Genomic DNA, 15,476 nt, shown 5'->3' with positions numbered 1-15,476 from the left:
GTCAAACAATGAGCTATGGGTAAAAAATAGTTGCATTTTATCTCTTAGCTTTACTGCTAGGTATTTGGTGCCTATTATTCTCAGCTAACTAAGCCTCTATAAAAATATTTAATGGGAAAATAGATTTTATATAAACACACACACACACACACACACACACACACACACACACACACATCCTTACTAAAATACAAGTCTCATGAGACAGGGATTTTTGGTCTATTTCCCTGCATCACCAGTGCCTGGAACATGGAATATTCAACAAATGTTTGTTGAATAAAATTAACCAAACTCACCCTTAAAACATCCTCACTTAAAATAAAAATAATACAAACATTTCGACAATTTTTATCACCTAAATGATAAAGCTTATATTAAAATAGCTACAAATGTAATTAAATAAGAAGAAGGTAGAACACATCTCTATTTCTAGCTTTCTTCCTGTTTATAAGAGAAGGTAGAAGTAATAAATTTTGACAATTATATGTTAACGTACTTAGAAAATTCAAGGGAATCAACTAAAGTAGCATGAGAATTGATAAGAAAATGTAACAAGGCAATAAATAAAAGTATCATAAATAATTCATTTAAAAAATCATGTTGGAAACAATATTGACAGACTAAGTCAAACTGCCGGATGATTCTTTCCCAACATAGAAGTTTCTTTCATAATAGGTGCTTCTTTATATTCAATATGATGTATAAATTTGCATTTGTGTGATTATTTGACTGCTGTTTTTCTCCACAGCTGGTGGTAAACCACAAGGACAGGGACTATCTACAAGTATATAAAGAAATCCCAGGGCTTAGCAGAGTGCCTGCTGCACAGTGAACATTCAATATATTTTGGAGAATGAATGAACAATGAATAGAATCAACACAAATGAATAAAACAATGAATTACTGACAATCCATAGTAGACATAAGATCAAGACTGCAGTCCCTAGCATCACGAGTGCTGACTATTTCAGACAGTATATATTCATCTTCACATTATGGGATGACAATTTCCATAAATTGGTCAGAAACATGACTTGAATAGCCTCTGAGTGTCCACAACCTCTAAAATGTTAAAAACGTAAGTCTGTTTTCACGAGAAATATGTGTATTAATACCAAATGACAATTATAATAAAAGACTTACAGTGAAAAGCAAGACAAAAAGAAAACAAGCGTAGTACTTGAATATATTTATTTATGAACTGCACAAATACTCAGTATTTTTAACTTCCATGGTAAGTTTATAAATCAACATTCCGCTGCATATTATTTTGTGGTTGGATCAATGGAGATAAAATAAAATAGCTCAGGCTATGTTCCCAAAAGACATATAGTTTTGAATGGCACACAACAACATTTATTTTGGTGACAAATGTAAATGTAACTTCTATGAGGTTTATAATAAAGGTATAATTTGGAAATTACTAAAATTAAGAACTAAGATTTCTTCACCTGATTTTTTTCAAGATTTATTTTTTTTAAAATTTTCATGATTTTTTATCTAAGCAATTTCAAAGTTTTTATATTTACTTCACAAGAAGCTAGCATTTTATCAGGATAAAAGTTGACTGGTATTAATAAATAGTAATCTTTCAATCAATTGAATAATTCTCATTGTCCCTTACTAGAAATTTTTCAGCTAAAATATATTTTATTTTCAGGTTATTCCTGAAGAGTTGACATTTTCTACATTTAAATTAATTATTTTATATCACTTACTGATTGTCTTTTTATATGCTTTACAAATGAAACATAAATTGAGATGATGTATTACTTATTTTTGAATGAGAAAAATATTGCTTGTGATTAAAAATCAGTACTATTTTGTTACATTTAACAGGAAAAACTCAGCTTGTCCCTTTTCATTTTTTTACAGCAAGAGTACTTAGATAAATTGACTCAAAGTACAAAACAATGAGTAATGTGCAGCTTGAATAATCCCCTATAAGATGAATGAAAGCTGACAACTTCAATTACAATTTGAACTGTCTCTTTGTATATAAATGTGATTTAATGGAAATCTGATATTCAATAAACCTGGCTTTCTTTATGATTTATATTAGCTAGCCTTAGGTTACCCAATGCATTTTATAGCATAAAATGACAAGATGCCCTCTTCTAATGATATGCAAAATTCTCAGTCAACAAAGAATCCAAGCATCTTTTCTTTCTGATCAAAAAGAAACATGTATGACCTTACTGAACTAATATTTTACTGCACACTCTGAGTCCTGCCCAAACCCTCTTTTATTTTTCTTGAAGCAACTCGCATTATGTTTAATAATTTTTCTATATTTCATTTAATTTATTCAAACTCACATGTGTTTAAGGTATAGTAAAAATAAAGTTCTCCCAGGATATATTTTCGAGAAGCCTGATATCTATACACATGACCCAACCTGAAGTCATAAGTATCTTTTCATCCCAATTTAGTATGCTATACAGAGAGAAATATAAACAGGAATACGTTTATAAGTACTTTGCACCAACCTAATAAATGTATTCTTATTCATATATTTCTCTGAAAAAACCTACTGGAAAATGTCACATATTATGACTTTACCTAGTTCTGTAATAACCATCATATTCTAATTCTATGTAAAAATGCATACTCACGTAATTTTAGAAAATGTGATTGCAGATAAATGATAAGTGTTCCAGGAAGCATATTTAGTGCTTACCATGGCTTACCTCGTTGACCTTAAAATTTTTTAATTGATACATAATATTCGTACATATTTATGGGGTACATGTGATGTTTTGTAACATGCAGAGAAAGTCCAATGATCAAGTCAGGGTATTTAAGAATTTTTCATTCCTTTCTAGGTATTGGGAATATTTAAAATTCTCTCTTCTGGCTATTTTGAAATACAAAACACGTTATTGTTAACCACAGTCACTCTACTCTGCTATTGAACATTAGAACTTATTCTTTATATCTCCCTATATGTGTGTGCCCATTAGCAAACCTTTCTTCATCTCACCCCACACACACACTGTTCCCAACCTCTGGTAACTAACATTCTAGTCTCTACCTCCATGATCTCAACCTTTTTAGCTCCCACATAGGAGTGAGAACATGCTATATTTGTCTTTCTGTGTTATTTCTATGCTATTTCACTTAACATAATGACCTCCACTTTCATCCATGTTGCTGCAAATGACAGGATTTCATTCTTTTGTATAGTTGGAGAATATTCCATTATTTGTGTATATATAAATATTTACATGTAGCATATTTTCTTTATCCATTCATTCACTGATGAACACTTAGGTTGATTCTATATCTTTGCTATTGTGAAAAGTGCTGTGATAAACACAGGGGTGCAAGTATCCTTCTGACATACTGATTTCCCCTTTCCTTTGGATAAATACCTGGTATTGGAATTGCTGGGTCATACTGTAGTTCTATTTTTAGTTTTTTGAGCAGTCCTCATACATTTTCCATAATGGCTATACTTACATTCCCACCGACAATGCATGAGTTCCCTTTTTTTCTGCATTCTTGCTAGCATATGTTATTTATTGTCTTTTAGCCATTCTAACGGGTGTAAGATAATATCTAATTGTGGTTTGGATTCTCATTTCCCTGATAATTAATGTAGTTAAATATTTTTTTTTTCCTATCCCTTTTGACCATTGGTGTGTCTTCTTTGGAGAAATTCCTATTCAGATCCTTTGCCCACTTTTTAATGGGATTATTTATCTATTTTCCTGTTGAGTTGTTTGATTTCCTTGTATATTCTGTATATTAGTCCCTTGCCAGATAGTTTGCAAATATTTTCTCCCAGTGACAAGTTGTTTCTTCACTTTGTTAATTGTTTCCATTGCTGTGCAGAAGACTTTTACTTTAATATAGTTTCATTTGTCTATTTTTGCTTTAATTGCCTGTGCCTTTGGGGTTTTAGCCATAAAATCTTAGCCTAAACCAATGTTCTAGAGTGTTTCCCCTATGTTTTCCTCTGGTAGTTTTATAATTTGGGGTTTTATATTTAAGTTTTTGAACCATTTTGAGTTGATATTATATAGAGTGAGAGGTGGGATTTTAGTTTCATTCTTCTGCATAGGGATATCCACTTTTCTCAGCACCATTTATTGAAGAGGGTTCCCTTTTATCAATGTATGGTCTTGGTACCTTTATCAAAGATCAGTTATCTGTAAATACATGGATTTATTTCTGGGTTCACTATTCTTTTCCTTTGTCTATGTGTCTGTTTTTATGTCAATACCATGTTGTTTTTGTTACTATAGATTTGTAACATATTTTAAAGTCAAGTAGTGTGATAACTCCAATTTTGTTACTTTTGCTCAGGATTTCCTTGGTTGTTCAGGCTGCTTTTTGATTCCATACAAATTGTAGGGTTGTTTTTCCTATTTCTGTAAAAACCTCATGGGTATATTGACAGAGATTGTATTGAATCTGTATATTGCTTTGGGTAATATGGTCTTCTAATTCATAAGCATGAGTTGTCTTTTTAGTTGCTGTCATCTTCAATTTTTTTCATCAATGTTTTGTAGTTTTTCTTGGAGAGCTTTTTCACTTTCTTGGTTAAATCTATTCCTAGGGTTTTTTTTTTTTTGTTTTTTTTTTTGTAGCTATAGTAAATGAAATTGCCTTATTGAGTTATTTTTCAGCTAGTTCATTATTAGATATGCTAGTGATTTTTATATCCTGAAACTTTACTGAATTTGTTTATTTGATTTAAGAGGGTTTTTTTGGTAGTCTTTAGGTTTTTCTAAATGTAAGATCATATCATCTCCATAGAGGAGTAATTTGACTTTCTCTTTTCCTGTTTGCATGCCTTTTCTTTCTTTCTCTTGCCTGACTGCTCTGGCTAAGACTTCCTGTACTACGTAGAATAAGAGTGATGAAAGTGGTCATTCTTGCCCTGTTCCAATTCCTAGAGAAAAGGCTTTCAGCTTTACCCCATTCAGTATATTAGCTGTGGGTTTTTATACATAGCCTTTATTATGTTGAAGTATGTTTCTTCTATGTCTAATTTGTTAAGAAGTTTTACTATAAAGGGATGTTGAATTTTATCATGTGCTTTTTTGCGACTATTGAGATGATCATATGGATTTTGCCCTTCATTCTACTGATGTGATGTATCACATTTGATTTGCATATGTTGAACCAGTTTTGTGTAACTGGGATGAATCACACTTGATTATGGCGTATTATCTTTTTGATGTGCTGTTGGATTCAGCTTGCTAATATAGTTTCGGAATTTTAGCTTCTACGTTCATCAGAGATATTGGCCAGCAGTTCTTGTTGTTGTTGTCTCCTTGTCTGGTTTAGGCTTCAGGTTAATGCTGGCTTCCTAGAATGACTTAGGGAGAATTCTCTATTCTTTAATATTTTGGAACAGTTTAGGAGAATTGGTGTTAGTTCTTTACAGGTTAGTTCAGTTAGCAGTGAAGCCATCCAGTATTGAGCTATACTTTTTTTGGCAACTTTTTAATTTTTATTACTGATTCAATCTCATTATGATTTTTGGCCTGTTCATGTTTTCTATTTCTTCCTGATACAGTCTTGGTCAGTTTTATGTTCCAGAAATGCATCCATGTTCTCTATGTTTTCCAGTTTATTTGTGTATAGTTATTCATAATAGTCTTTGATAATCTTCTGAATTTCTGTGGTATCAGTTGTAATTTATCCTTTTTCATTTCTGATTTTATTAGGATCATTTTTCTTTTTTTCCTTGGTTAGTATAGCTAGAGGTCTACAAATTTATTTATCTTTTCAAAAAGCCAACTTTTCATTGTGTGGATCCTTTGTATTGTTTATTTAGACTCCTTTTTGTTTTATTTATTTCTGACTTTTATTTCTTTTTACTAATTTGGAGTTGGGTTTGTTCTTACTTTTCTAGATTTTCAAGATACACTGCTAGATTCTTACTTATTTTTTTCTCTTTTTTATGATGTAGACATTTATTGCTATAAACTTTCTCCTTAGCACTGCTTTTGCTGTATTTCATAGGTTTTGGTATGTTGTGTTTCAATTTTCATTTGTTTTAGTTTTTTTTTGTTTTGTTTTGTTTTTTGTTTTTGAGACTGGGTCTCACTTTGTCTCCCAGGCTGGATTTCAGTGGCGTGATCTTTGCTCACTGTAGCCTCGACCTCCTAGGCTCAAGCAATCCTCCCACCTCAGCCCCTGTAGTAGCTGGGACTACAGGATTGCACCACTACACCTGGCTAAATTTTTGTATTTTTTGTAGAGCTGAGGTTTCACTGTGTTGCCCAGGCTGGTCTCAAATTCCTAAGCTCAAGCAATCTGCCCACCTCAGGTTCCCAAAATGCTAAGATTATAGGCATGAGCCACTGCACTTCTCCTGTTTTAAGACAAAAAAAAAAAATTCTTCTCAATTTCTTTGTTGACTTAATGGTTGCTCAGGAGCATGTTGTTTAATTACCATGTATTTTTACAGTTTCCAAAGTTTCTCTTGTTATTGATTTCTAGTGTTATTTTATTGTTGTCTGAGAAGATACTTGATGTGATTTTTACTTTGAAAAAATTTTTAAGACCTATTTTGTGGCCCAACATATGATTTATACTGGATAATACTGCATATCCTGATGAGAAGAATGTGTATTCTGTAGCTCTTGGATAAAATTTGTGTCATCCTGAAAGCGGGGTGTTGAAGTACTCAACTATTATTATAATGGAATCTATCTCTCTCTGTAGATCTGGCAATATTTGCTTTATATATATGGGTGCTCTGGTATTGGTTGCATATATATTTAGAATTGCTATATCCTCATGCTGAATTAATTTATTGATCATTATATAATGACTTTCTTTGTTCCTTTTTTTCTGCTTTTGACTTAAAATCTGTTTATCTGATGTAAGTATGGCTACTCTTGCTTGCACATGGGTTCCATTTTTATGGAACATCTTTGTCCATTCCTTTACTTTCAGTCTATATGTGTATTTACAGGTGAAATTGGTTTCTTGTAAACAACATACAGTTGCATAATGCTTTTTTATCCATTCTTCCAGTGTATAACTTTTAAGTGGAAAATGTAATTTATTTACATTAAAGGTCACTATTGATATGTGAGGACTTATTTCTGCCATTTTTTTGGTGTTCTCTGGCTGTTTAATATATCCTTTGTTTCTTTCTTTCTCTCTGATCTTTTATTATTGTGGTTTGTTAGTTGTCTGCAGTAGTAACATTGTCATTTTTCTTCCTCATTTGTGTGTTTGTTCTATCAGTAACATTCATATTTTTATATGTTTTCACGATGGTAGATATTATTCTTTTGCTTCCAGATATAGGACTCCCTTAAGTATTTCTTGTATGGCTGGTTTAGTGGCGATGGATTTTTTTTAGATTTTTTCTTCTCTGGAAAAACTGTATTTCTCTTTCATTTATGAAGGACAGATTGCTGAGTGTAGTATTCTTGGCTGAAAGGTATTTTTGTTCCTTTTTTTTTTTTTAACACTTTGAATATATCATCCCATTCTCTCCTGACCTGCAAAGGTTTCCGCCGAGAAATTCACTGTTATTCTGATGGGGATTCCCTTATATGTAACTAGACACTTTTCTCTTGCTGGTTACAAAATTCTCTCTTTATCTTTGATATTTGATGTTTTAAATATACTGTACCCTGGAGAAGACTTTTCTGGCTTATTTCCATTTGGAAATTTCTAAGCTTTCTGGATTCCTAAATCTCTTGTCAGACTTGGAGAGTTTTCAGTTGTTAATTTTTTTAAAATGTCTTTGGCTTTCTCTTCACCTTCTGGAATTTGCAACAGGATATCACATATATCATATATGTTTTGCTTATTCTTTTTTATTCTTTCTTCTTTTTTTTTTGGTTTGACTAATTATTTTGAAAAACTTGTCTTCAAATTTTGAAATTATTTTATCTGATTGATTTAGTTCATTGTTGAAGCTCTTAATTTCATTTGTTGAATTCTTCGGTTCCAGGACTTTTGTTTGGTTTTTTATAATATCTAGCTTTTTTGTAAATTTCTCATTCATATCCTAAATTGTTTGCTGGTTTCTTTGTATTGTTTATTTGTGTTCTCTTGTATGTCACCAAGCTTCTCTAGTATCATTATATTGAATTTTTCACACATTTTATAAATTTATTTTTCATTGGCATCTATTGCTGGAGAATTATTCTATTTCTTTAAAGGTGTTATATTTCCTTACTTTGTCATGTTTCTTGTGTCCTTACATTGATAGCTGTGCATTTGATGTAATTATCACTTCTTCCAATTTTTTTGGAATGGCTTTCATAGAGAAAGTCTTTTTCCTGAAGTTATAACTATGGTGTTGGTTGGGTAGCACGTGTTGGCTTTGATCCTGGATGCCTGAAGTAGTGTAGTTTTTGTATGACTTCTTCAGCTATAAATAATGTCAGTGTTGTCTGTGATTCCACAGTGGCTTACTGGTTGTTACTGGATGCTGTGGTTGTTACTGGATGCTGTAGTTAGGCTTTGCTGGAAATGGGGAGGTCAGTTGGGCCAGTCTTCAGGCTTTAGTGGTGACAACAGTGGGCCAAGTTTATCTCCCCTTGGGCCCTGGGTACATATGTTGGCACTGATGTTAGCGGGATTAAGTAGTCTGATGCTTGGGTCTCAGAGCAGCTTGCTCAGGTGCCAGTAGCATTAACGGTGAGTTGGGTATGTGAGTGGGTCATCGGGTCCTTGGGCAGCCTGCATGACATGGGGAATGATCATAGCAGTAGCAGGACAATATTCAGTCTCCAAGGCAGCATGTGCTGGTGTTAGTAGTGGCTGTGATAGGCTGGGTGGACCAGGTGGCATGTGCAGGTGGGTGCTAGTGTTGGTGGTAGTGGCAGGTTGAGTGGGCCCATCCTCAGAACCTTGGGAGGAGTCCATAGACGCTAGCAGTAGAGGATAGGGAAGGGAGGTTTCAGGCCTCCACGCAGCATGCTTGTGCACTGGGATGGTGATACCAGCCTGGGCAAGCCAATTTTCAGTATTCTAATGGTGCACGTGGGCAAGGATTTAGTGGAAAAGGTGTAACTTATCTGAAGGCCCCTGGGTAGCATGATTGGGTGGAGGTAGCAGTGGTAGCAGTGGGTGGGAAGAGCCTGTCCTCAGGGAATGTGAAAGTATACTGCTGCCCTGCTGCCTGCAAGGATGGCGTTGCTGTTAGTGGCAGTAGCCCCAGGCAAGGGGCTCTCAGGCTTTGTGCATGTTTTGGCCCCCAGTGTGGAGTCAGCAGCGGCAGTGGTGGTGGCAGGCCAAGAGAGCTTGTCCTCAGGGTACATGCAATTGCACAGCAGTTCTGTTTCTGGTGTGGGTGGCATTACTCTCAGTGGCAATGGCCAGGTGGCTTTCAGGCTCTGAACAGTACACATTTTTGCTCCTGTTGTCCCAAGACCAGCCTACTACCTGTACTACACTGCCATTTTCCAAGGCATAGGACACTGTGCAGCTTAGAGCACTGGGAACCCTGCAAGACTTCTGGGTTCAATTGACATCCCACCACTGAAGCCCTTTGGGTGGATGTGGAGGGATATCCTATGGGGCTCCAGGGATATGGAGTTTCAGGAACTGTTGAGCCCCAGGGCAGGATGCTGTCTTGTCAGGGCTTCGTTCTCAAAATGGTACCATGTTCCAACTGCTTGGGTCTCAGAAGATGCGCGGGACCCATCATGATCTCCCTCCAAAGCAATGATGTTTTACGGACTCCAGGTAGCTCCCAGACTGGTCTCAGGGCTCACAGGAATCAAAAGCTTCTCCTGTGGCTAGGATTGTGGGAATATGGACGGCTGGGGATCTCTCACTTACCTTTTCTCCACATGGCAAGCCTCTTCAGGGTCCCAGGTGATCCCAGGTAGGCAGGGTGCCTCACTTCCCTCTCCTTCTATTCCTCAGGTTTTTCCTGGGAATATCATTATATTATTGATATCATTATAGAATATCATTATATCTTGTAGCTGCTGTTTTCAAAGTGTGATTATCTATTTGCTATTTTTGTTCTTCTCTGTGGAGGAGGCTAATGTCAGATGACTCTAGTCAGTCATCATCCTGAAGCCCCCTCTCTCACTGACTTTTTAACAGCAACAATATTAGGATTTATTATTACTACCATTGTAAAATAAAAATTTTGAAATTTACAGAGGATAACTTTCCCAGTTGGCACAATTAGTAAGTGGTAGAATCAGGATGCAAATTGATATCTACATAATATAAGATGATTGCGTACATATTTTAATTCGAGAGAAAATTTTTATTATTTATAGAATCCTGAATTAACTGAACCCGGTTACTTTGTGTTTGCTACCTAAGGATCCAGTTGTCTATCTGTAAATCTATTAATCTGTCTAGCTACCTATCATCTATAAATCTATCATTACTGGAGGTTAGGTTCCCTGCAAGCTGATTCTGAGACTTAGATTAGCAGGCAGAGTATTTATTACTGTACACTTTTAGGATCAAATCCCTGGAAGAAAAAGGAAAGAAGCAGGGCTGATTAGAGAAAGACGTTTGGGTGAAAAGAAGGTTCAATGAAAAACTAGCTGTACATGGGGAGCTCTCAAGTTTCAGTGGATCTTCCTAAGTGTCCAAGTATGGTCAAAAAATTATATTTTTATTGTCCTTCATAGCCAGTCCCAGGGTGGAGGCTTCCAGGGGAGCATATGTGACCTTTTTTTTAACCAAGTTAATTTGGAAGAGTGCTGACAGCTGAGGGCTCTCTGCCAACAATACTCCTATCAGCCATTGGAAATAGACCCTCAGCCTGAAGGAGGAACTGAGCTGTGAATCATAACATCCACCATACTCACATACATAAAGGTAACTCTATACAATTACACTTTATAGAATTACGCACATATAACACACAACATATATTTTAGGGGTAGATGCACCAAAAACCAGGTTAAAGCACATTCTTATGAAATAAGCCTAAAGCTTTGCATTTTATTCATAATATAGAATATACACTTCATTGAGAAAATAATAGTAGAGAAAAAACACAAAAGCATTTCTTATCTTAGGGGTCAATGAGATATGTCTATTTATTAACAATTTTAAGGCAGAAGTGAAGAATTTAGACTTGTCACTACATCTGTCCAGTAAAGCTAAATGCATTCTGTGGAACTGAGAAAAACTGAATTCAGCTTCAGGGGCTAAGAAAAGTTTATCTAAATGGGTAGATTATACATTAAAACTTCACATATGGTTAATTATATATTGGCCTTGTTTTTCTACAGAAACCTGACTAAAACAGATTTTGGTGCTGAGAGTGGTTGTACAGATTTTTAAATTGTCTCTGTGGTTTCTGGATTTGGCTGTCTAATATAATTGGCTTTTAAGATGCCAATAACTATTTGTAGTAGTGAAGGAAGCATTCTGGCAATAGAGATACTAGAGATACACAAAATATCTACATTGAATACTCTTTTTTTTTTTTTTACTGGATCTCACTTTATTGCCCAGGCTAGAGTACAGTGGTGTGATCTCAGTTCACTGCAAGCTCCATCTCCTGGGTTCAAGAGACCCTCCTTCCTCAGCTTCCTGAATAGCTGGGACTACAGGCACACATCACCATACTCGGCTATTTTTGTTTGTTTGTTTGTTTGTTTGTTTTCAGGAGAGATGGGGTTTTGTCATGTTGCCTGGACTGGTACATTGGATATTCTTAACCAGCGCTAATAAGATACAAGGAACCAAATGACCGTGTTTATGACATTGTTGAATATTTTTGGAAAACTAATAAATCTAACAAGATTCGTTGGTTGCTCCTAATGTTGCCTGAATAAGTGGTTAAAAAAAAAAGGGAGGACCTTGGGGAATTAAATTTCCTGCTTAAGTGCCATATTAATGACCTGAAGGCATCTTTGTGTGCCCTGAAAGACATTCCAATATCCTGTAGCAAAGGGGCTGAGATTGTTGAAAATCAAACACTTAATCTCATCTTATGACTGGCTGAATTAACAAGTTGAACTCCTACCTTTAGAGTAGACATCTTACACAACAACTGCTGTTAAAGTTAGGGCATTAATAGGGAAGGTATGAGATTTTAAAATTTGGAATGTGGATATGTGGAAAGACCCTGAACTTTGGCATATAGAACCCTTAAATTCTGATGACTTCTTTGACAGTGGAAGAAGCCTCTCCACCAAAGTTGCCTCCTCACCCCCAGTGCAAACAACTTTCTGGCCTGTGGCAACAGCGTCTTCACCAGTGTCTGAAAGAATTAGCTCGCATTGCCTGAGGAAACTATAATGATGTTTCCTGAGGCAGTTGCCATGTAAGTAAATGTTAGTTCTCCTCAGGACCCACCCCATCCTCCTCGGAAATCTAAGCAAAATGTCTGGAAATAGACATTGAGGGTGTGAGAAAATGGTGGAAGGAAAATAAAGTTGAATCAGGCTGAATTATTGATATGTGCTCACAAAGCAAAGATTCTGCGTTTATTTATTTATATTTATTTTATTAATTTTTTAAAAATTTTGTTTCAGAGGGTACATGTACAGATTTGCTATGTGGCTAAATTGTGTGACTCTGAGGTTTGGGGTACAAATGATACCATCACCCAGATAGTGAACATAGTACCCAATAGGTAGATTTTCAGCCTTTGCCCCTTCCCAACGTCCCCTCTCTAGAAGTCCCCAGCGTCTATTTTTCCCATTTTTATTTCCATGTGTACTCAGTGGTTAGTTCTCACTCATAAGTGAGAACATGAGTATTTGGTTTTCTGTTCTTACATTAGTTTGCGTAGGATATTGACCTCCAGATGCATCCATGTTGCTTCAAAGAACATGATTTCATTCTTTTTTATGGTTGTATAGTATTCCATGGTGTATCAAAACCACAGTGAGATACTATCTCACACCAGTCGGAATGACTATTATCAAAAAGTCAAAAAGAAAAAAAAACAGATGTTTGAGATATTGTGGAGAAAAGAGAATGGTTATACACTCTTGGTGGAATTTTAAATTAATTCAGCCACAGTGGAAAGAAGTTTGGAGATTTCTCAAATAACTTAAAACAGAACTACCATTTTACTCAGCAATCATTCTACTAAAAGGATACATGCACTAGTATGATCATCACAGCACTATTCACAATAGCAGAGACTCTGCATTTAATGTTGCAATTTTGAGCTTCAGGAAAGCTCTGACAATTTATTTGGTTACTTGAAATATAAACCATATATGGCCCACAGTGAGTAAATCAGAAATGCTGGATCTGCCTTGGTTTGATGTACAGGAATGAATTTGAAAGTTAGAGATATTTATCTACACTGGGAAGGGCCAAAAGACCTTTCACCACAACTGTGAGGAATATATTTGTGAGGTGAGGCTGAAAGTATCCTTGAAAGCTCTGTGATAGCTCTTCTCTGTAGAGCAGAACTTACAGTGAAAAATTTGGTTACTGAATTGGGAAACCTAAATACAGTGGTAGTAATTGGATCCTTGGGGGGCAGGGGCCACGTAGGGCAATGTGTACATGGTGACTACACTGAATAGGAGATCAAAGTAGCAATCAGAATAGTCTGATTTACGCAGACTTGTGACATTGGCTACTTGATGGTGGTGTTTCTAGAAGTGAAATAGACAGAAATCTTACTAAATCTTACTTAATCTTTGTAAGCAGAAAAGTTTTAGGTCAAGTGAACAAAAGCTTAGCCTATATTTGCACCCACAAAAGACTAAAGAAAAGAAACTAGAGAGAGAGAGAGAGAGAGAATCATGGACTCCAAATTAAATCCTAGACTTGAGTCAGTTTACACACCCTGAACCCCTTGAATGAAGAAGTCAGGTTTTCTCGAAGAAGGACCTGATACACTACTGAAAATGCATATTGTTACTCACTCTTTCAGCCTTTCTCAAAGAGACCTAAAACCCTTTACGAGGATAACCATAAATTTGGAAAAAGGCAATAATCAGAACTTTTGGGAACTACTGACACTGTCTCTGAACTGACACTAATTCCAGGAGAACCAAAACACCATTGTGTTCCACCAGTCAGAGTAGGACTTTCTGGCTGCTAGACGACTAATAGAATTTGAGCTTAGGTCCATCTCAGAGTGGGCTCAATAACTTTGGTTATTTCCCCAGGTGGGAAATGCGGAGTTGGAATACACAGATTCAGCAGCTGGCAGTCACCACATTGGTTCCTTGACCTATTGGATGAGGGCTCTTATGGTGAGAAAAGCCAGGTGAAAACTACTAGAATTATTATTACCTAGGAAACTAGGTTCTCCTGAAGGCTGGACAGTCATTGCTCTGTATCCACAGGGAATTACTTCCAGGATTCCCTATGGATATCAGAATCAGAGGATGTTCAAGTCTCTTACGTAAAATGGTGTAGTAATTGCATATAACCTAGAACATCCTCTCAGATATTCTGAATCATCTGCAGGTTCCTTATAAAATCTAATACAATGTCAATGTTATATAAGTAGTTGTCATACTGTATCATTTTTACTTAATATTATTTGTTATTGTATTTTTACTTAAAAAATAATTTTGATTGGCAGCTGGTTGAAATCTGATGATGCAGAACTTGCAGATATGGAGGGCAAACTGTAATTGCTCTAAATCATCATCTGAAATGTGGTACTATTTCTCTCATAACCAGGATTCTTGAGTCAAGAAATCAAAAGGTAAAAATGGGAATGGCATCACTCATTATTACCTATAGCAATCCACTAGCAAAATTTTATTTCCTGTTTCTACAACTTTAAGTTCTTCAGTCCTAGGTGTCTTAGTTCTAGAGGGAGGAATGTTTCCATCAAAACACACAACAATGGTTCCATTAAACTGAAAGTTATGACCATCACCCGGCCACTTTGGTTCCTCATGCATCTGAGTCAACAGGCATATAAGGGAGTCACAGTGCTGGCTGGAGTTATTGATCCTGACCACCGTGGGGAAATTAGACTACTACTCCACAAGGGAAGCAAGGAAGAGTATTCTGAAACATAGGAAATCTTTGAGGATGGCTCTTAATGTCCTGCTCATGTCTTGTGATTAAGTCAGAAAAATTCCAAGAACCTATTCCAGGAAGAAGGACTACTAATAGCCCAGACTCTTCAAGAATGGTAGTTTGGCGGTAGTTTACCACCAGGTAAAGAAACATAACCAGCTGAGGTAAAGAAAATATAGAGTGGATAGTGGAAGAGAGGTCTAAATATCAGTTATGACCACATGACCTGTTACAGAAATGAAGACTGTAATTGTCATGAATATTTCATCTTTCTTTTGTTATAAGTATATTTGTGTATGAAAATATATACAAGATAGTTTTGCTGTCTTCACTCTCTTATTCCCCTACATGTAACATATGATGTATTAACTTTACATCAGCATTATGGATATCATTGGCTTGTTCCCAATTTTTATGGTTACTTTTCTGTGTCAACTTGACTGAGCCTTGGACAGCCCAGATAACTGGCTATACATTATTCTGGTTTTGTGTGTGACGGTGTTTCTGGATGAGTTTATCATTTGAGTTGATAGACTGAGCAAAGCAGCTTGTAG

This window comes from Homo sapiens, chromosome 5 (assembly GCF_000001405.40).
Source record: "Homo sapiens chromosome 5, GRCh38.p14 Primary Assembly".
Classification (NCBI taxonomy): domain Eukaryota; kingdom Metazoa; phylum Chordata; class Mammalia; order Primates; family Hominidae; genus Homo; species Homo sapiens.
This window is presented reverse-complemented; position numbering follows the sequence as displayed.